The sequence below is a fragment of the Homo sapiens genome, chromosome 5 (assembly GCF_000001405.40).
Source record: "Homo sapiens chromosome 5, GRCh38.p14 Primary Assembly".
Classification (NCBI taxonomy): Eukaryota; Metazoa; Chordata; class Mammalia; order Primates; family Hominidae; genus Homo; species Homo sapiens.
In genome coordinates, this window is record NC_000005.10 from 109,347,986 (window position 1) to 109,369,517 (window position 21,532).

Consider the following 21,532-nt stretch of genomic DNA (forward strand, 5'->3'; position numbering starts at 1 on the left):
TGGGGGTTGGTTTGGTTACACCTGTTGAGCTTGAGCTCAGTGTTGAGCTCCTTGCCAATGAGAATGGGATGCTATTAATCCATAGTCTGTAGTGGCATCACAATTAATCAAGGTATCACTGTGGTTGACAGTGATGAAGATCCAACTGAAGCATGTGTCTTGAAAGCCCAGATAGCTCCTATACTTGATCTTACGGCAACAGTGATCTAACTGTAAAAATCGTGATGTGAGATGGATTATTAAGAGTGCCCTTGTGCACTTACAGAAAAAAATTACAAACTCAGGTCTCTTAAACCTCACAATAGGGTATGAGAGCCAGAAAGCATCCACGACAGCCCTAAAAGATGCTCTTGCTCCTAAAAATCAAACGCAAAATGTAATTGTGTGGATTGCTAAATGAAAATTAGAGTTGACTTCTTAGTCTCATCAAATTTCTCAAAAGTTTTACCATTGATTGGTTAAGGAATAAGATTCTGAAACCTGGAATGAAGACATCTGACTGAACTCTGAGGAAACTGATAACTTTGAATCCCCAAGTCACTCTGAGCCTCCTGTTACCAGTAGAAACAGTGTGCCCTCCACAGACTAGGCTTCCTCTGCTTGAAAACCCTGTGATAATCTCACCTGGAGTGTGAATCTCTTACTGCTTTCATGCCCAACAGTAAAGTTACCAGAACTACAGCAGACAAAAAAAGAAAGAACTGAAGATATAAACAGTGTAGGTCTGGGTTATTCTACCAAGTAAAGAATCCTAACCAGCTGAGTGAGCTTCTGGCTGAGGGCAGGGAAAATATGACTGGGTCATGGAAGAAAGAAGTTATAGCTATCATTCAGTCTCATGAGCAAATACAGAACAAGGATTAGTAATTCTGCATATTTTATGTGCTTGTTTTATGTATCTGCTTATTTATATATGTTAACAGTTTACTTTTCCTCTTTCCCATTTCTATTTCAATATGCCAGTTGTTGGAAGTTAAATTTGCAATTTAGTCTTTATATAAGAGAATATTCAGTGTTACTATGAATGTGTGGAGTAATGCATAACTAGCGATGGATACAATGCCTCTTGGAACTAGCCATCTGCTCATTCTGGGAAATGGGTGAAACTTCATTTGTAGTAATAGCTGTATTTTGTTGGGTGGAAATACAATTCTATTGATGGATGGAAATTTAAATGTGCATTGAAAGGTATATATGGAAGCCAAGTTATCAAAGTGCTGGAATGTTCCATTTATGGAATTATTGCTCCACAAATCCATATTCACTATTGTGTCGGCTCTGTGAAAATCTGGGCTGTTTAAATACTTTCCCTCCTAACAGCTGGCATGATGCTAAGCTTTGTTCACAGAGGATGTTGAAGAACACTGCTGGAGGAAAGGGCCTTCCTTCTGTCCCAGTGTGCTTGCTTGACAGAGCACACTGGGACTAGAGTGATGTTCGTGGCTTTCTCTAGCACTAGACTCAGTGCACACAGCTTCTCTAGCAGCCAGTTCCTGTAATGCACTTAGTAGGTGGCAGCCTCCCCCAGCATCCATGTTGGACAGTTCTGCAGTACAGCACTTCCAGTTAGAAACCTTCCTATGAATAGCTTTCCTCAGCACCCTAAGAGAGCTGACTTCCAGCAAGTTTCACCAGCACATACCCAAGTGACTTCTCTCTCATACAGCAAGCCACAGCTGTGCCATTTCCATCAAGGTGACCTCAGCCCTGAGATGGACTAGGGACTCTTCCTTGGGTTGTCCTAGCTTTGCCAGACAGGTGGTGGCTGCTCCTTATATGCGCTTTTCCCATATTCTGTGTAATTATCTTTATTTCCTCCTAGCCAATCCCTTGTTACTCTACTTCTTTGTTCTAGTTTAGAATTCCTTATATTGAACTTTCCCATTGCAAGATAGGAAATGGAAGGTAAGATCCTGTTATCAGTCCCTTTCCTTCTCACATAGCTATAATTATGAATCTCCTCCAATTCCCCATATGTACTACTCAAGATAGAACCTGCTTGCAAGAACTCATTTGTGCTACACATAAACAGAAATAAGGGATGTTATTTATAGTAACTTTCATTTGGGGAGGTTATTCCAGGCTAATTATGCTTTGATATATGTTTGTCTCAATGGGTTCATTATCTCTTTCTAATGATTATCTGCATATTTGCAGTGCTAGTAACACCTGAAATTTCATATATGTAAAAATAATTTATTGCCTTGGTACTGTCATATATTTAAGATGATCCAGGATCACTTATAAGCAACACAAGCAAAAGATAGCCTTTTAAGCCACTAGTATGAAAATCTATAAAAATTAAAAAAAAAAAAACTATCTATACCTTTAGGCAGTACAATGTATTTACAATAGTTAGTCGAAGAGGCAGAAAGACAACTAGCCTAAATCACCCTATCTAGAATACATGTAGGTTTAAAGTAGCATAATCCTTTATCAGCATAAAATTTTGTTCTAAAGAATAAAATACAATTCAGTTTTTAAAGAACGAAGATAGTAATACCGATTCTGAATGATCACCACTGAATCCAGATTTGTTCACTGATTACACCAGTTAGTTGACTATTGATTTGAATAAACCTATATGAATATACTATTTACTGAGAGATTCCCAATACAACCAGGTATTTTGCTAAAGGCTTTAACACAATCTCACAATAACCCATCAGGTAGATTTTATTATTCCCATTTTGTAAATGAAGACGCTAAAGCTCAGAGAAGTTAAGTGAATTGTCCAAGGTCACACAGCCAAACTCTTTAACACAAAAGCCCACCTTCTAAACCTCCACATTACAGCCTTCCTAGTGCCTATACCTGGGTGTATACAGGTGCTATTGTGAGTATGTAAAGACTTTACAAGGGGCCCGTGGGTATGGACAGTCTTAAGATAATCAGTTTCAATAAGCTTTCATAGGTAAAATCTTTCTTCGAACTGATCCACATAAGAATGCACCTGCAGTATATCATGCTGGTTCTCTGTTCTAACATTCTGTTTATACTTGCCTTTCTTCCACTTTATAAATAAAAGCATACTTCTTACCCATTCACAGGGACAATCTGAAGTACTGAGGTAGAACTGAACTCTAATGACTAAGTAACAAATCTTTTGGGTGGCTTCCAATCCTTTGCTTAAAAAAAAAAAAAAAACGGAAGGAATCTAAAGAATATCTAGACAAGTTGATGTGATTCTGGGCAAATATCTCAAAAGAATTCAGTGACAATGCCATAATAAACTCCTTCCATTCCTATTAATTTATTTAGGTGAACAACGTTTTTCAACCTTACATTCATAAGATGAAAATCAGAAGTAAATTTATGCTGAAATATGTCTCATTCCGGTAATAAATAAAATTCACTCATAACTGGGAAAGGAAAATGCCTCCATCTCATTAGATTCACTTCCTACAAAACACTTACCAAAATTCATAATTTATTTTTGATTATTTGGATACTATTAATTGTAACTCAATTTAACCACTTTTTATATTAAAAATTTTAAACATTTTTCTAGCGAAGAAGTATGATAAAATAACTAATACTACCTAGATTTATGCTGAAAAATTTTAGATGTCAACATAAATGTGCAAGGGGATTTTTTCAAAATCCATTTTGAAAAGTAGAAAAGTTTCAAAAGGTTAAAGATGTTTAAGGTTTTACCCTCTCCTCACTCAAATTAGAGACACAGATATAAGGAGACAAATACATACTGCCAGTATTTTCACCAAAAGCCACTACCTGAAAACAATGACCAATCTAGTATTGGGAAAATAACAGAAATGAAAGCAACTACTTCCAAAAAGTTATAGGGCTGCTTGAGAAACAAACAAACAAAAACAAGCAGTTTGTTTTGTTTTTGTTTCATTTAAAGAGTGTTAGTGTTAAATATAAAAGAAATAATCATAAATTATTTTTGTTTCATTTTAAAAAATGATTAAATAAATGCATACTGAACACAGAAAAACAGATTTCTGAAGAGTGACAGGAAGACAACTGTATTGATTTTCTAGGAGTGAAACATCTCAATCAAATTCAAATAAATTAAATCAGAGCACTAAAATGTGAAGAAGCTGATAAGCTTTAGAGGAGAGAGATGCTTAAAGCCATTAAACACAGGCAGAAGTATAGACTGGTAGGAATAATGCCACTGAGTTCACTATTGGTAGAAGCCAACAATGTTTGAGACTGCAAGCTCTTGCTTGCCTTTTGTCTTAGTTCACTGCTAGTGCCTTTACTTAGCATGACCTCTCAAGACCAGTCTCTCTGGCTCTTCTTTCAAGATGCCAAATGTCACATTCCCCACTAGTAATAAATACTAAAACATTTTATTCTCAACACTTCTTTTTAAAGTTATCTCCATATTGTAGGAAATCATAAACCACTAGCATAAAATGAAAGACTAAATGTTGTGAAATCAGACCCTAGAACAGATCACTCAAAGAGTTATTTAGCACAACGAAATGAGTGATCCTTAATCTTTATGTATTTCTGATGCAAGTTACCATGCTATACCATTATTTCTTATGTGTCAGAATTTGCCAAGGCAGGTTAAATAATTTGGCAAAAATCCTAATTGTATCCTATCTCATGATGTTCTTTCTGACTTTTTTCCTAGTATAGAGTATTTCTGCTATGGTTACTTTGAGAAAAACACTCACCATAAAGCGTAATTGAAAGCAATCTCCATGGACAGTTATATATGTAAAAAAAGTGATGACAAAGCAGAGCTAGCATAAATGTATGTGAACATGTATATGCATGCATGTGTGTGCACAGATGGACAGATATCTAATATCTATAGATATCTATATTAGATATGTATATATTAGATATCTATAATATCTATAGACATCTATATATTAGATATCTACAATATCATAGACATCTATATATTAGATATCTATATCTATAGACATCTATATATTAGATACCTATAATATCATAGACATCTATGTATTAGATACCTATTATATCTATAGACATCTATATATTAGATACCTATATCTATAGATATCTATATATTAGATACCTATATCTATAGATATCTATATATTAGATACCTATATCATAGACATCTATATATTAGATACCTATTATATCTATAGACATCTATATATTAGATACCTATATCTATAGACATCTATATATTAGATACCTATATCTAGATATCTATATATTAGATATCTATAATATCTATAGATATCTATATATTAGATACCTATAATATCTATAGATATCTATATATTAGATACCTATAATATCTATAGATATCTATATATTAGATACCTATAATATCATAGACATCTATATATTAGATATCTATAATATCTATAGATATCTATATATTAGATACCTATAATATCATAGACATCTATATATTAGATACCTATTATATCTATAGACATCTATATATTAGATACCTATATCTATAGACATCTATATATTAGATACCTATATATAGATATCTATATATTAGATACCTATATCTATAGATATCTAATATATTAGATATCTATAATATCTATAGATATCTATATATTAGATATCTATAATATCATAGATATCTATATATTAGATATCTATAATATCATAGACATCTATATATTAGATATCTATAATATCATAGACATCTATATATTAGATACCTATATCATAGATATCTATATATTAGATACCTATTATATCTACAGACATCTATATATTAGATACCTATTATATCTACAGACATCTATATATTAGATACCTATATCTAGATATCTAGATTAGATATCTATGATATCTAGAGATATCTATAGATTAGATGTCTATGATATCTAGAGATATCTATAGATTAGATGTCTATGATATCTAGAGATATCTATAGATTAGATGTCTATGATATCTAGAGATATCTATAGATTAGATGTCTATGATATCTAGAGATATCTATAGATTAGATGTCTATGATATCTAGAGATATCTATAGATTAGATGTCTATGATATCTAGAGATATCTATAGATTAGATAGATATCTAGAGATATCTATAGATTAGATATCTATGATATCTAGAGATATCTATAGATTAGATATCTATGATATCTAGAGATATCTATAGATTAGATATCTATATCTAGAGATATCTATAGATTAGATATCTATGGTATCTAGAGCTGTCTATAGATTAGATATCTATGATATCTAGAGATGTCTATAGATTAGATATCTATGATATCTAGAGATATCTATAGATTAGATATCTATGATGTCTAGAGATTTCTATAGATTAGATATCTATGATGTCTAGAGATATCTATAGATTAGATATCTATGATATCTAGAGATATCTATAGATTAGATATCTATGATATCTAGAGATATCTATAGATTGGATATCTATATCTAGAGATATCTATAGATTAGATATCTCTGATATCTAGAGATATCTATAGATTAGATATCTATGATATCTAGAGATGTCTATAGATTAGATATCTATGATATCTAGAGATATCTATAGATTAGATATCTATAATATCATAGATATCTATATCGATATTAGATATCTATAATATCTATAGATATCTATATCGATATTAGATATCTATAATATCTATAGATATCTATATCGATATTACATATCGATATCTAATATCTATCGATATTAGATATATTAGATATATGTTATATATCTAATATATAATATACAATATATTAGAGATCATTTAAAGACAAATTTATCTAATAGATATATCTAATATATATTATATATTAGAGAGAGGTAATATATTAGATATATAAATATATTATTAAATATATCAATATTAGATAGGTACCTGCTATCTAACTTGTCAATCTAAACTAGACTTTCTGGCTGGGCATGGTGACTCATGTCTATAATCCCAGTGCCATGGGAGGCCAGAGTGGGAGGACTGCTTCAGGGCAGGAGTTTGAGACCAGCCTGGGTAACATAATTGGACCCTATCTCTACCAAAAAACCCCACAAAAAACCAAAACCAGGTCTGATGGCCCGTATGTGTAGTCCCCACTACCTGGGACAGGCTAAGGTGGGCTGATTGCTTGAGCCCAGGAGTTCAGGGCTGTAGTAAGCTATGACTGCACCACTGCACTCCAGCTTGGGTGACAGAGTGAGATCTCGTCTCAAAAATAAATAAATATACAAACTGGACTTTCTAATCTCAGAAAATTTAAAGACAAAATATATTATAATGCTCCTAAAAGTTCTTGCCAATTTTTTGTTCTCTCACCTGTGGCTCATTCACCAGTCATTTCTGTACCTATATTTTGGAAATCACTTTGGAAATAGTGATTTGAAAGGACTTCTTTTAATGAAATCCACTGGTACAGTAGTAGTTCCCAAACATGAAAATACTTGGGCTTTGAACTTAGGCAAATACATTTAAGAACAGGTTTTTCTGTTTTAGTTAAATAATGAAAAGAAGGCAAGAGAAGCTGAGGCAGCAAATATGCCCCACTTATTAAAGTGTGTATATGTTTGCTGGGATAAGGAGGAGCAAATTTCCTAACTGCATTAGGCAGCCAGATAGTATTTAGAAGCCATGAGAAAAAAAGAGATTTGTAATATATCCTTAGCTTCAACTGCATTTCACAAATACACCTGTGCGTGTGTATATAAGATATTCACTCTCATACTTGTATAATTCAATAGAGAAAAAAGTATATTTTCTAAATGTAAGCAAAACATTTTCCATTCTGCAGTAAAAACTGAGAAATACTGAAATTTAAGGCAAACTAGCAGGACATCAAGTATAATTTGTATGCACATACTGGTGACAATTATTATTCAATAACTGTTACTAAACTGATGGGAAAAAGATTCACCTTTTCTTAAGAGTAGTCTAAAAATCCCTTTAAACCTTTATCATTTTGTATCCCATCAACTTATATATGGAGATCAGAGTTATGAACATACCTCCATAGCCTGGGCTAAGCGTTCTTCTAGTGCCATGTAGGTAAGGAACTGAGGATCCACATATGAAATAGCTTCAGCAACTCCTAGTCCATCTGCAAAGCCATCAAATAGGCTGAAAAAAAAAAAAAATAACAGAAAAAACTCACCACTATGATTTGGGAAATCTTATGCTGAGGACATAATTATATTAGCATACTGACAAGCCGATAAACATGCTGTGAACAGAAGACCTTAAAATATTTTAATACCAACTTGTAGGGTTAGGGGCAGGAGGGACCCAACAGAAAAGTGAGGTGCTAAAGATGAGTAGTTAAGATACCACTACCTCATCCAACAGGCTGCCAAACTCAATGCACAAAATTTGTAGAAAAATTCTCTTTTGTGTTTCTAGCTCTAACTCTAGAGACTGCTTAAAGGTACAGGTTGAGCATCCCAAATCTGAAAATCTGAAATCCAAAATGTGCCAATGAGTATTTCCTTTGTACATCATACTGGCACTCAAAAAGTTTCAGATTTTGAACCATTTTAGATGTTGAATTTTCAAATTTGGGATGCTCAACTGGAAGTATATGTAAATATTCCAAAATCTAGGAAAAGAATCCCAAATCCCAAACACTTCTGGTACCAAACATTTCAGGTGAGGGATATAGTACATTTCCCCACCCGATTATTTCCCACATATTTCTCCTGTTTTTCAGTTTCCAATCCGCATGTAGGTGAGAATATGATAAAGAAAATAACCATATTTATTTTAATTCTATCATTACTCACGGCTTTTTTCTTTTCTCATTTTGTAATGCTTAATAACTCTGGATTTTAAAATATTTTATTATTTCAAGCCTTTCTCATTAATCTGTCTTCTTCTAAGATTAGGCCACCTCCATTATTATACAGCTTGAAAAATAGCTCCTAACTGCTCATTTTTAATTATAATTTTCTCTAAAAAACCATTAAGCTCCTAGAAGAAAAACATGTCTCACTTTGGTCCTACTCTCCTTCCTCCACCCCTGAACATATCGAGATTCCTCCTTTTCCTCTAGTCTTGGAAATACTATGTATTTCAAAAATTGAAAACCGTTAAGTATGTCCTTGGTCCTCTTTTCTCTAATCTTGCTCCCTTGGAAATTATTAATATATTCAAGCCCATTTTCTTCAATTATCCTCTCTGCAGGTAATTCCTAAATCTCTACCTAATTCCTAAACTTCCCCCGAAGCTCTTGACCTACATTTCTAGTTGTCTGGGGGCACCCTGAGTAGATGTACTCCTACCACCTCTTAAGTCCAAGAGATCCAAAACTGAGCTTATTTTGTCTAAAGACAAACTAAACTTGTTGACTTCCATATCCTATTTGAATATCATAGTCCTAAACATCCACAAACAACCTAGCTCAAAAATAGTTTTGATGTCAACCCATGTGCCGTAATTAAAATTACCCATCTGTTGCCAAGAGACACAGAAATGGTTCTTGAAAAGAGTAATGTTATAGTTTAGCAGTATCTGGAAATCAAGTATCACATGATACAAAGCAACAGACATGCACATATAATCACAGATTTTGGAATTAATATTAAGAATTACTGAATCCATCCACCCTTGAAATACTGAAACTCCCTCATCTAGCAGTAAGATGTAGTACAAAGAGAAAGAGCCTGTAACTGACTCTTCCTTCATCTATAAAACAAATTAAATAAGTAGGTGTGCAAAGGTGCCTGGCACAGAGATGGCACCACAGTAGACATTCAAGTAACAGAAGAAACATTCCTTCCATGCAGAAAATACACTGCTTTCTAAGGTGGTATGTACCAGTGCGGGAGAGCACTACTAGAAGTTTAAAACATATGAAGTATTCCTACTTGTAACTTTTGCTCTGTTGCTGTAATTCTGCCTGCTCAAACAACATAAATTGTGTCTTCCTTCTCTTTGCAAAAAAACTCTTCAAACGATTGAAGACAACTATCTCCCAATGATTCTTTTCTTCTCCAGGCTGAGCAAATCTAGACACTCAAAGCATAATATCAAGTTGTAATTTGGCCACTACAAATAATCATTTAAAAATTCTAAGATCATGTACTTGGCAGTCACCATGGTAATAACTGTTTCAGGCTGGGTGTGGTGGCTGTAATCCCTGTTGGGAACAGGCCCTCCCAAAATCTGGCCATAAACTGGCCCCAAAACTGGCCATAAACAAAATCTCTGCAGCACTATGACATGTTCATGATGGCCATGATGGCCATAATGCCCATGCTAGAAGGTTGTGGGTTTACCGTTTACAGGAATGAGGGCAAGGAACACCTGGCCCGCCCAGGGAGGGAAACCGCTTAAAGGTGTTCTTAAACCACAAACAATAGCACGTGCCTTAAGGACATGCTTCTGCTGCAGATAACTGGCCCAACCTATCCCTTTATTTTGGCCCATCCCTTCGTTTCCCATAAGGGATACTTTTAGTTAATCTATGATTTACAGAAACAATGCTAATGACTGGCTTGCTGTCAATAAATATGTGGGTAAATCTTTGTTTGGGGCTCTCAGCTCTGAAGGCTGTGAGACCCCTGATTTCCCATTTCACACCTCTATATTTCTGTGTGTGTGTCTTTAATTGCTCTAGCGCCACTGGGTTAGGGTCTCCCCAGCCAAGCGGGTCTCAGCAAATCCCAGCACTTTGGGAGGCCGAGGTGGGCGGATCACTTTGAGCTCAGGAGTTCAAGACCAGCCTGGGCAACACGGTGAAAGCCCGTATCTACAAAAAATACAAATATTAGCCAGGCATTGGTAGCTCATGCTTGTAGTCCCAGCTACTTGGGAGGCTGAGGCTGGACAATCACTTGAGCCTGGGAAGCAGAGGTTGCAGTGAGTCAAGTTTGCGCCACTGCACTCCAGCCAGGGTGACAGAATGAGACTCTGTCTCAAAAAAAACATAAAACAAAAAACAAAAAATTGTTTCAGACAAGAACCACTAATAGATGCTAAAACTAGTGGATGGAAGTTTGATAGTTTAAAAAGAAACAGGTTATTTACAGTCTCAAAGTATCTTCACGCTAGAAGCCTACTGACTATAGCTGACCCTTGAACAGGGGCTTGAGCTGGGTAGGTGGGTACCCTTAAACTCAGTTTTTTTTCCACCTCTGCCACCTCTGAGATAGCAAGACCAATCCCTCCTCTTCCTCCTCAGCTTACTACTCAATATGAAGACAGCAAGGATGAAGATCTTTATGATGATCTACTTCCACTTAATGAAGAATAAATATATTTTCTCTTTTTATGATTTTCTTAACATTTTCTTTTCTCCAGCTTGCTTTGTTGTAAGAATACAGTATATAATACATATCACATACAAAATATGTGGCAATCAACTGTTTATTTTATTACAAGGCTTCTGGTCAACAGTGGGCTATCAGTAGTTAACCTTCTGAAGAGTCAAAAGTTACGCTTGGATTTTCTAGTGCACAGGGATCAGCACCCCTAACCCGTGTTGTTCAAGAGTCAGCTGTATTAAAGGATAAATGACAACTGTAAAGAAATCTGAAAGATAACACCATAACCAAATCAAATTTTATATCACCAGTAATGGGTTGGTTTGACACCATGTGTTTTCTGATATGTACTGCAAAGGACAAAACACCACTTCCAGGGTGTTTCTGCTAAAAATTCACAACTCAAATCTATTCATGACAGACAAATACAACCTAAGGGACATTCTAAAAAATAAATGACCTGTACTTTTTAAAAATGTCAGGGTTATGAAAAACAAAGACTGAGGAAACGTCCACATTAAAAGAGACTAAAGAAACTTGTTAACTAAATACAATGAAAGATCTAATACAAAGATTAGACCAGAAAAAAATTTCTCTAACAGCACTGGTGGAACAACTACAAACATCTAAATAAGGTTTGTAGATTATATAATATTGTATCAGCATTAATTTGCTGACTTTGACAATTTTACTGTGTTATATAACAAAATGGTCTTGGATGTCGGAAATTCATTCTAGAATAATTACAAGTAAAGAAAGGGACATCATGCCTGCAACTTACTCATAAGTGGGTCAGAAAAAAACCTTACTATAAGTATAAAGAAAGGAAAGACAGAATGGTAACACAAACGTGGTTTTAAAATGTTAACATTTAGGAAATCTTAGTGAAGGATACATGAGGATTTTTGTACTATTTTTGCCATTTTTCTGTAAGTATAAAATTATATCAAAATTATTTTTAAATTCTATTAAGCCACAGTTATATCCACACAGAATTAACTTCTCACAATCTTATTAGATTAATAAAAACTCAATTTCTTACAGGAAGACAGAGGAGTTAAGGAGTTATCAAAGAATAAACAAATGGTAGAGTTGGGATTTGTCTGTGTCTAAAACGATGATCTCTCTGTGTCACTTCCTACCACACCAAGCTATCAGGTACTCTTGAGTATTTTGAACACTAATGCAACTTCAATGAAAACAAGTAAACAAACTTGATAGAGGACTTTTTCCATTTTCCTTTAAACTAAATTAAGGAACCAAAAGGCTTCACTTTTTTCTAAGCAGTGGCAAAACAAAAAAAAATGTGCCAAAGTTTGACTTTAGAGACAAGAACTGCTGCTCTTTGCCATAGCTTTCCCCATAGCATGCTATTTTAATATGGAAATGAAACCACATTTTCACCTTATCAACCTTTAGACGCTGCCACATAAATTAATATAGTACCACATAAGCAAATAATGAGGTGTTGACATAGAGCAACCTTCAAAATTTGTGTCTTAAAATTAATGCTAAAATGTTTTCTATAATTTAAAAAAAACTATTTGAAGCTCTGGACATTTCGGGACCACTAGTAAGGTTTCTAAAACCTTAACACAACAGCCATATCTAGAAAGATCATCAGTGAATTAGAACCTAAAGTAACAGTTTCTCAAATTTAAGTTCAAATTATATTCAGAGGCTGGGCATGGTGGCTCACACCTGTAATCCCAGCACTTTGGGAGGCCGAGGAGGGTGGATCACTTGAGGTCAGGAATTCGAGACCAGCCCGGGCAACATGGTGAAACCCTGTCTGTACTGAAAATACACAAATTAGCCAGGTGTGGTGGCAGGCGCCTGTAATCCCAGCTACTTGGGAGGCTGGGGCAGGAAAATCACTTGAACCCGGGAGGCAGAAGTTGCAGTGAGCCGAGATCACACCACTGCACTCCAGCCTGGGCAACAGAACGAGACTCCATCTCAAACAAACAAACAAATTATATTCAGTAAAGACTTCCATTATTCCTTCAAATATTTAGGTAAAACAACCCTTTTGGAAGTATTTGGAAATAGGTATCCATACCTTGAAAAATACTACATATCTCAGTAATGTCCCCTCCAATTATTTGTCCTAAAGGAAAAACCAGAAGTATAGAACAAGTTTTATGGAGGATGGGGAAGAAAAAGTTCACTGCACTATTTCAATGAGTCAATAATCTGTTAAATCTTAGTGCCCCTATAGGAAGGAGCATCTTCACAATGGAGCTGTAAAAAATTATTTTTAGAGTCTTGAAAATGTGTAACAGAAAACATTCCTTCATATGTAACCGTAATTGCCTCCCAACATGCATAGATGATGCTAAACAGATGATTCTTTCAACTGCTGAACACTTTGAGGAATTACTTTGCATAATGGAGACAGAAGACTTCTGAATTAATAAGGAGTGCAGTAAAAAGGTAATGGGGAGACACAGAAACGGAGGAAAAGAGAGACGTATCAAGATCAGCAAGACTGGGACTAGGTAAAGCCACTTATTCTCCATAATGCATGGGAAACCAGAAAATGTGTTTTAGAGTATGAGAATGTTTAAGGTAGAAATACAAATTGCATGGCTGTAATGAAATCCCATTTCTACTTCCCCAAAATGGTGATAAAAGTCTGTTCTCCACACATTTTTTTCCCCCTTGGGGAGTAAGAATAGGAAAAGGCAAGGAAGATCTCAAGAAGATGTTCAGTTTCCCATCTGGAACAGTCTGGAGAAGTACAGAGAAGTAGCTAGCACACACAGAAAGAGAAATTAAAGACACAAAAGAGGACTTAAAACATATGTTCTGGAAACCTGAAGAGATATCAGGAGATATAAATGAGTTTTTTCTTATTTATTTTTCTGAATTTTCTGTAAAGGAATTTTAACTGGAAAAACAACACAAATTCTTAAAAATATATTTGTACAGAGAAAGAAACAAGTGTAAATACACCAAGATATCTTTTTTGCCCCAGAAAAAGTAAAAAAAGGGATCAGTTAGGAGGACATCCTTTCTATATCTCAATAGTTACCTGCTTTCAGTGGGCTACTATACACTTTAAAGATACTATAAACCAAAACAGTTAAATTCTGAGCATTGTATCGTAAGAAGTAACAATTCCACAACACACTTCACTTACATGTTACTTTCATTTGAAGCTGACTATTCTTTGTCAAGCATAAAGTAAATTAAATGCTTTCAACATCTCCTGGAAAGTAAAATTTTATCTTCCATATTTTACATAGAGAAGGAAAAGGAAGAATAGGGAAGGAGAACTATTCTTATTGTTTTCTGATTCAACCATAGGTTTTAAAATTGAAGTGGTATTCATTAAGAAGCTATTTTTGAAAGAATTATGCTAAGTGATAGAGGGCATATAAAGCAAAATTTTAAACGTCAGAAATCCAAAACTAAAAAAAAGTATGTAAGTAACTAGGATGTAAGGTGAGCTTCAAGAGAGCTAAAGGTCAAAGGAAGAGGTCACTGACTGGAGGAAGTAGGAAAGGGTCCAAGTAGGAAGGAACATTTGAAATGAGCTTTGAAGAAGAGGAGGACTAACAGATGGGAAAATTATAATATTTCTCAGCTAGCAGAGATTTAATTTTCATAAATTAGAATCATGAACTCAGAGCCTAATTAAGCATCCTAATAAAATCGTGCTACATACCTCCAATCCACATCTAAGTCTTCACTCACACTGGAGTCATCCTCCAGGTTATTGTTACCATCCAACATGAAAGCTGGCTGTGCAAATTCATTGGCAGGTTCATTTCCCTCATCACTGCTGCTTTCATTGACTTCATTGTACTGTAACCAAGGAATTTCTCCCTCTTCCAAGGATGTCTGTTCCCTAGTACAAACATTTTAAAGGAAGAAAAAAATATTATTTTAAAACATACCATAACACTGTCTTTAATTCTATTCCATGCAAGTGGATTCTGTTGAGTTCTAAGCTCTTGGTACTTTTATAATTCTAAAAAACTGTCTTCCTTAACTGCAGAATTATGTAAAAAAAGGAAAGAAATCAGTTATAGGGTCATATGTATACAGAAATAGTTCCTAATTACATAGGAACATATTTATTTGATTTACAAATTATCTATGCTGTTTTCTCCTTCTGTAGGAGAAACGTAAGAAAAATCCAACCCTGACTACTTGAATTTTGAAACAATGCTCTTGAGTACTTTCCCTTCACAGTTTAAATCTGAATTCCTCAACCTGGCCTTCAAATCCCTACATAACACATGCTTTCTGCTCAGCCCACTTCTCCAACAGCATCTCTCATCACTCTTCCCCAGCTACTATGCTCCTACTGTTCTTCCTACTTTTGAAACACATGGAGATCATTTCTACCTTGGGGCCACTTCCTCTACCTAAAATGTTCTTGCACTGAATTTTTACTTTGCTACTTTCTTCTTGATGTTCATGTCAGATTCATAAGTCACCATCTCAGGGAGGCCTGTCTTGAACATTCAGTTTAAATAGCTCTCCAGTTACTGACTACCACATAACTCTGCTTATTTAAACTATAAAATTTATTTTTGTTTAACATTTTCTTATTTGTTTACTGTCAGTCTACTCCTACTAGAAACTAACTAAACAGGAACAGAGACACACAAATCAATGGTACAGATCAAGAAAATAAGGAGGAGATAAAGGAAGCATTTCAAAACAGGAAGAAAAAAAAGGACTCATTAGGCTAGGTGCAGTGGCTCACCCCTATAATCCCAGCACTTTGGGAGTCCGAGTCAGGCAGATCACTTGAGGCCAGGAGTTTGAGACCAGCCTGGACAACATAGTGAAACGCTGTCTCTACTAAAACTACAAAAAATTAGCTGGGTGCATGCCTAATTCCATCTACTCAGGAAGCTGAGGCATGAGAATCGCTTGAACTCAGGAGGCAGAGGTTGCAGTGAGCTGAGATCACACCACTGCACTCCAGCCTGGGCAACAAAGCGAGACTGTGTCTCAAAAAACAAAAACAAAAAAGGACTCATCAACAAAATGTACTGGGACAACTGGGTATTCGCCCGCAGGGAGGGAGGTTAAATCCCTTAAATAAACTTTAGCTATACTTTTTTGAAGTACATGTGTATATGCACCCCCCACCTCACTTAAACAATGAGTACGAGAATAGTCATGAGGAAATTTTATAAAAATTTCAGTGTCGGCCGGGCGCGGTGGCTCACGCCTGTAATCCCAGCACTTTGGGAGGCCGAGGCGGGCGGATCACGAGGTCAGGAGATCGAGACCATCCCGGCTAAAACGGTGAAACCCCGTCTCTACTAAAAATACAAAAAATTAGCCGGGCGTAGTGGCGGGCGCCTGTAGTCCCAGCTACTTGGGAGGCTGAGGCAGGAGAATGGCGTGAACCCGGGAGGCGGAGCTTGCAGTGAGCCGAGATCCCGCCACTGCACTCCAGCCTGGGCGACAGAGCGAGACTCTGTCTCAAAAAAAAAAAAAAAAAAATTTCAGTGTCATTCTAAGCATGATATAAAACCCTGAAGTCACAAAATTTGGACACAAAACTCAAACTGAGAAACGTGAACTACAATACAAGAGAGACAAAGGGCTTTTCCTTAATCAATAGAAGCTTAAAATGTAAAAAAAAAACTGTAAGAAAAACATCAATATATATCAACAGAAAGGAGGCAAAGGATATAATAATTAGCAGAAAAGGAAATTCAAATAGCCCTTAAATATATAAAGAGATGCTCTGCCTCATTTATAATAAGCAAAATGCAAATTAAAACAACTGAAATATGTTTCAACTATTAGCAAAAATAAAAAATTCTGATAATACCCTGTGTGTTGGTGAAGCTCTGAAGAAAGCTTTGAAGAAAGGCAATTCATATAGTGTTGGTAAGAAAGTGACTAATTTAAGTTCTTTGTAGAGAAACCCGGCAAAAGCTATAGATTAGGTTTATGCACACTCACTGACCTAGTGGTTCGGCTTCCAGTTATTTCTCCTAAACATGTACAATGTGTTTTTTATTTTTTCTTCAGCATTACTCACAATAGCCAAAACTGTCCACCAAATGAAACTGGTATACTCATGTAGTAGTATACAGTAAGTTCTGACTTAACTTTATACGAGCTTCTTAGAATATGTGACTTTAAGCAAAACAAGGTAGAACTATGCAGACTTAAAATGAATAAAGGAAATCTATATGAATATGGAACAATCTAAAAAACAGATCTATAAACAAAACAAATAACGAAACCAAGGTGTACACATATGTCTACACAATGTGCTACCGGTTGCATAAAAAATGAAATGGAACGTGTACACATATATGCTTTTATGTGTACGGAAGATCTTTAGAAGTTCAAAAAGGAAGCTGGTTATAATGGTTTTTAATTGGTCTTTCCATACTGTCTAAACTCACTTTTTATTGTTGTATGAATCCTTTTTTTTTTAAAACAACTGTAATTTCATCTGTTTATCAAGAGAAGTTCAACCAGAAATAGCTACCCAAGCAATAAACTGTTAGCAATTCATTAAATATTTCCAAAGCACTCAAACTTGTGTCATTAAATCTGTATTCACTCTTACTGGTATTTCAGAAACCATCCCTTTAATTATGCAAAGTACAATAGTGAAAAGAATTTTTTTAGTTTCATGAGTCATGTGACCAATTATTAAGGAGTCACACAGTTGTTTGTATATTTAGCCTAAAGATAGCTAAAACTAACAGATGTTTAGCAGATGCTTAACAAATTTTAAAACCTTGAAGGTTTTCTCAATTTCAACCAAAGTACAGGTTATTTTCTCCCTTTGGTCAAAGCTCTATTGGTGTCTATCTAGACAACTCAAGCTTTTGAAAATGTACTAATTTATTCCCATTTTTTATTCTTCTTTCTGTTCCATCCCAGATATTAGAACTTTTTTTGGGCTAGATTTAATTAGGTTGTCATAATTATGCAATTGACATTTGGTGTACTACATCATTCTGAATGAAATACATCATTCTGAATGCAAAATATATTAATTGGAAAGAGACTTGTGATCTACACACATCATGGTAATACAAAAACTACCTTACTAAATAGTCTGAATCACTGTTAGAAAATAAAATCCAGGTTAGAGAAAATAAATATGTAATCATAGATTCATCAAAACAAGGCTGCTAGCTCTAAGAGCAAGTCTAAGGATGAAAAATGTGTGAGCAAAACCATAATTTGGCACTACAGTAATGTAAAAGACTAATTTTTGAAAAACTGGGCTTCTTAAATTACCAACATTCAATATCTCTGCTCTTGCTTTTTCTTTTGCTTAGAAAGTTCTTTCTGAACCCTAATTCTCATCTTTAAGAACTCAGCTCAAAAGTCAATTCTAAAGAGACGTCATCCCTGACCACTTTAATATCTTCATCATTTACCTTCTTTCACATCACTGTTTTATTCCCTTCACAGTAATCATCACATGTGTAATGTACTGGGTTTGTATCTTGGTTATCATCTGCCTTTCCTACTACAATGTAAGCTTCATGAAGGAATGTTATTTGTCTTTGTTTACTGATATAACGCCAATATCCAACACAATGCCTGGCACAAAGTAAATGCTCAATAAATATTTGCTGAGTGAATAACTGCTAACACAAATGACATATGAATAATTTATACTTAGTAAACTAAACTAACAGTGATTAAAGGCAATCAAATATAAAATCATGAGGCCAGGCGTGCTGGCTCATGCCTGTAATCCCAGCACTTTGGGAGGCCAAGGCAGGCAGATCACCAGAGGTCAGGAGTTCAAGACCAACCTGGCTAACATGGTGAAACCCCATCTCTACTAAATATACAAAAATTAGCCAGGCATGGTGGTGGGTACCTGTACTCCCCGCTACTCAGGAGGCTGAGGCAGGAGAATCACTTGAACCTGGGAGATGGAGGTTTCAGTGAGCCGAGATCGTACCACTGCACTCCAGCCTGGGCAACAGAGAGCAAGACTCCGTCTCAAAAAAAAAAATATATATATATATATATATATCTATGATGTATATTTATGATATATATATCTCTCTCATGAAGAGGAAAAAAATGCCACCTCAACCTACCACTGTTGAAACCAATTATGTTTGTGAATTTCTTTCTTTATAGATTTTTCTATATATTTTATTCCTAGATTTTCTTATAGGATTAATCTCAAGCTGAAAATGTATATGCTTTGAGAAGTACAAGTTTTAATATTAGTCTACACTGAAAAAGTTCTTTTCCTAAAAAAAAACATAATTTACCAAAATAGTTCCCATGAGACTAAGAATTAGAACCAATTATCATAGAAAAAAATTAAATTATCAAAAAGATATTCTACAATAAAACAAGAGGCCTAGATGGTTTCACAAGGGAATACTAACAAACTTTAAAGGAATAAATAAGCTATTTAAGCAACAGATGCAAGGACAAAAAAAGAAAAAGAATACACATCTTTTTAGCAAAGCAAGTACCAAACTGATATTGAAACAAAAAACTAAAAGACAATTTGCATCTAGGAATCTCATTATAAAAATCCCATGTAAAATATTAGAATCCAGCAGCCCATTAAAATAACAATAAACCATGACTGTGATCAGATTTGGTTTATTTCAAGGAGCAAGGGAAGTTGAATATTAGCAAATCTAATTATAGAACAATTCTTCATGATCAGGGCAAAAGTAAAAAACCATCATGATCACTTCCATTGATGCTGAAAAGACTTTCATAAAATTCAACAAACATTCTTGCTAGAAACCCATAAAATAGTAAAAGGTTGGAAGACAGCTATACCCATTCATTTACATCTTGTCTATGGCTACTTTTATACTGCAACAGTAGAGGTGAGTAGCTGCAACAAAGACTGGACACAAAGCCATAAATATTTATTATCTAGCCCTTCATGGTATGTTTGACAACCCTTACAGTACTAGAGCTTTCCCATTAAAATGAGGAAAGAACAAAAATGTTTATCATCAATCACTGATATTTTGGAGATCTCATCCAATGCAATTAGACAAGAATATGAACACTAGCTTTTGCAACTAACTGTCTCCATTTCTGTGAATGAATCACTGATTTCCCTCTTGAGGCTGTCCTTTCTCCCTTGAGCAATGACAGTGCTAATTCACCCATTCCTAACTTAACCAAAATGACATTTTAGGTGCCCAACTTTTCTTATTAAAGCCAAGTGGAGACATATATTGTATCTCCATAAACGATACTGAAATTATCAGTATTTTCAACTTAATTGTTCTTTTTAAAATACCAAAAGCATAATGAAAAAATCAGGGGGGCCTACTGGTTCTACATAAGGCTTATAAATACAATTAATGGCATATCCAACATTTGAATGTAAAATATACCACTCTTGTACAATATACAGAAAAATAAATCTCACTGTTGAACATACCCTTCCTGAAGAGATAATTCTTGGTTTTCTTCTTCAGGGCCACTGCTATCACTTTGTAGCTCAGGTTCATTCTCATCTTTTCCTGGCAGAGTCTCCCAGCTTTCATCACTTGAGGATTGATCTTTTTCTGTACCAGAAAATCGATGAGGCAAAGAAGCAGACCATTCCCCATCACTGCATTCAGAACTGCAAATCAGAAGAGAAATAAACTATCATAATGTGTTCAGTTATTTTTATCATTTGGGGTGTTAACTAGATGATATGGTTTGGATCTGTGTCCCCACCAAATCTCATGTTGAACTGTAATCCAAAATGTTGGAGATGGGGCCTGGTGGGAGGTGACTGCATCATGGGGGTGTATCCTTCATAAGAGTTTAGCATTATCCCCTTGGTACTGTTCTTGTGATACTGAGTTTTCACCAGATCTGGTTGTTTAAAAGTGTGTGGCACCTCCCCCCTCATTCTTTCTTACACCTGCTCCTGCCAAGTGAGAAGCCTTGTTCCTGCTCTGCATTCCACCATGATTGGAAGCTTCCTGAGGCACCCCCAAGAAGCAGAAGCCACTATGCTTCCTGTACAGCCTGCTGAACTATGAACCAATTAAACCTCTTTTCTTTATAAATTACCCAGTCTCAGGTGTTTGTTTATAGCAATGCAAGGATGAACTAATACACCAGACATCATAGTATAGAGTGGAGTGTCGATGCCACATATGCTTTGTCAGGTGCTAATTCAATCTTCAGACTATTAAACAAATAAATGCATGCAGTAGAGTGTGACTCTTTGAAAAGAATATGGCATATGGCAAGTTATGGAATATATCACTTTACTTTTTCTTACACTACATCCATGGTACCTAGATAGGGGCTTGTCATATTTTAGACACATTTCTAAATAAATTTTTAAATACAATTTGGTAATCTTAAATGCTACCTGGAATAAATGTAAGTAGACTTA

The 21,532-nt window shown here is 35.1% G+C and overlaps 1 protein-coding gene across 1 annotated transcript in view; it reads right to left on the reverse strand.

Annotated features, from left to right (window-relative positions):
- Positions 1 to 21,532, reverse strand: part of PJA2 (praja ring finger ubiquitin ligase 2) — a 75,253-nt gene that overhangs the window by 13,264 nt on the left and 40,457 nt on the right. The window contains exons 5-7 of the mRNA NM_014819.5: positions 20,576 to 20,761; positions 14,855 to 15,037; positions 7,930 to 8,041 (exon numbers count right to left, since the gene is read on the reverse strand). Coding sequence (NP_055634.3) covers positions 7,930 to 8,041; positions 14,855 to 15,037; positions 20,576 to 20,761 — 481 coding nt within the window. The remainder of the gene's footprint in view (positions 1 to 7,929; positions 8,042 to 14,854; positions 15,038 to 20,575; positions 20,762 to 21,532) is intronic.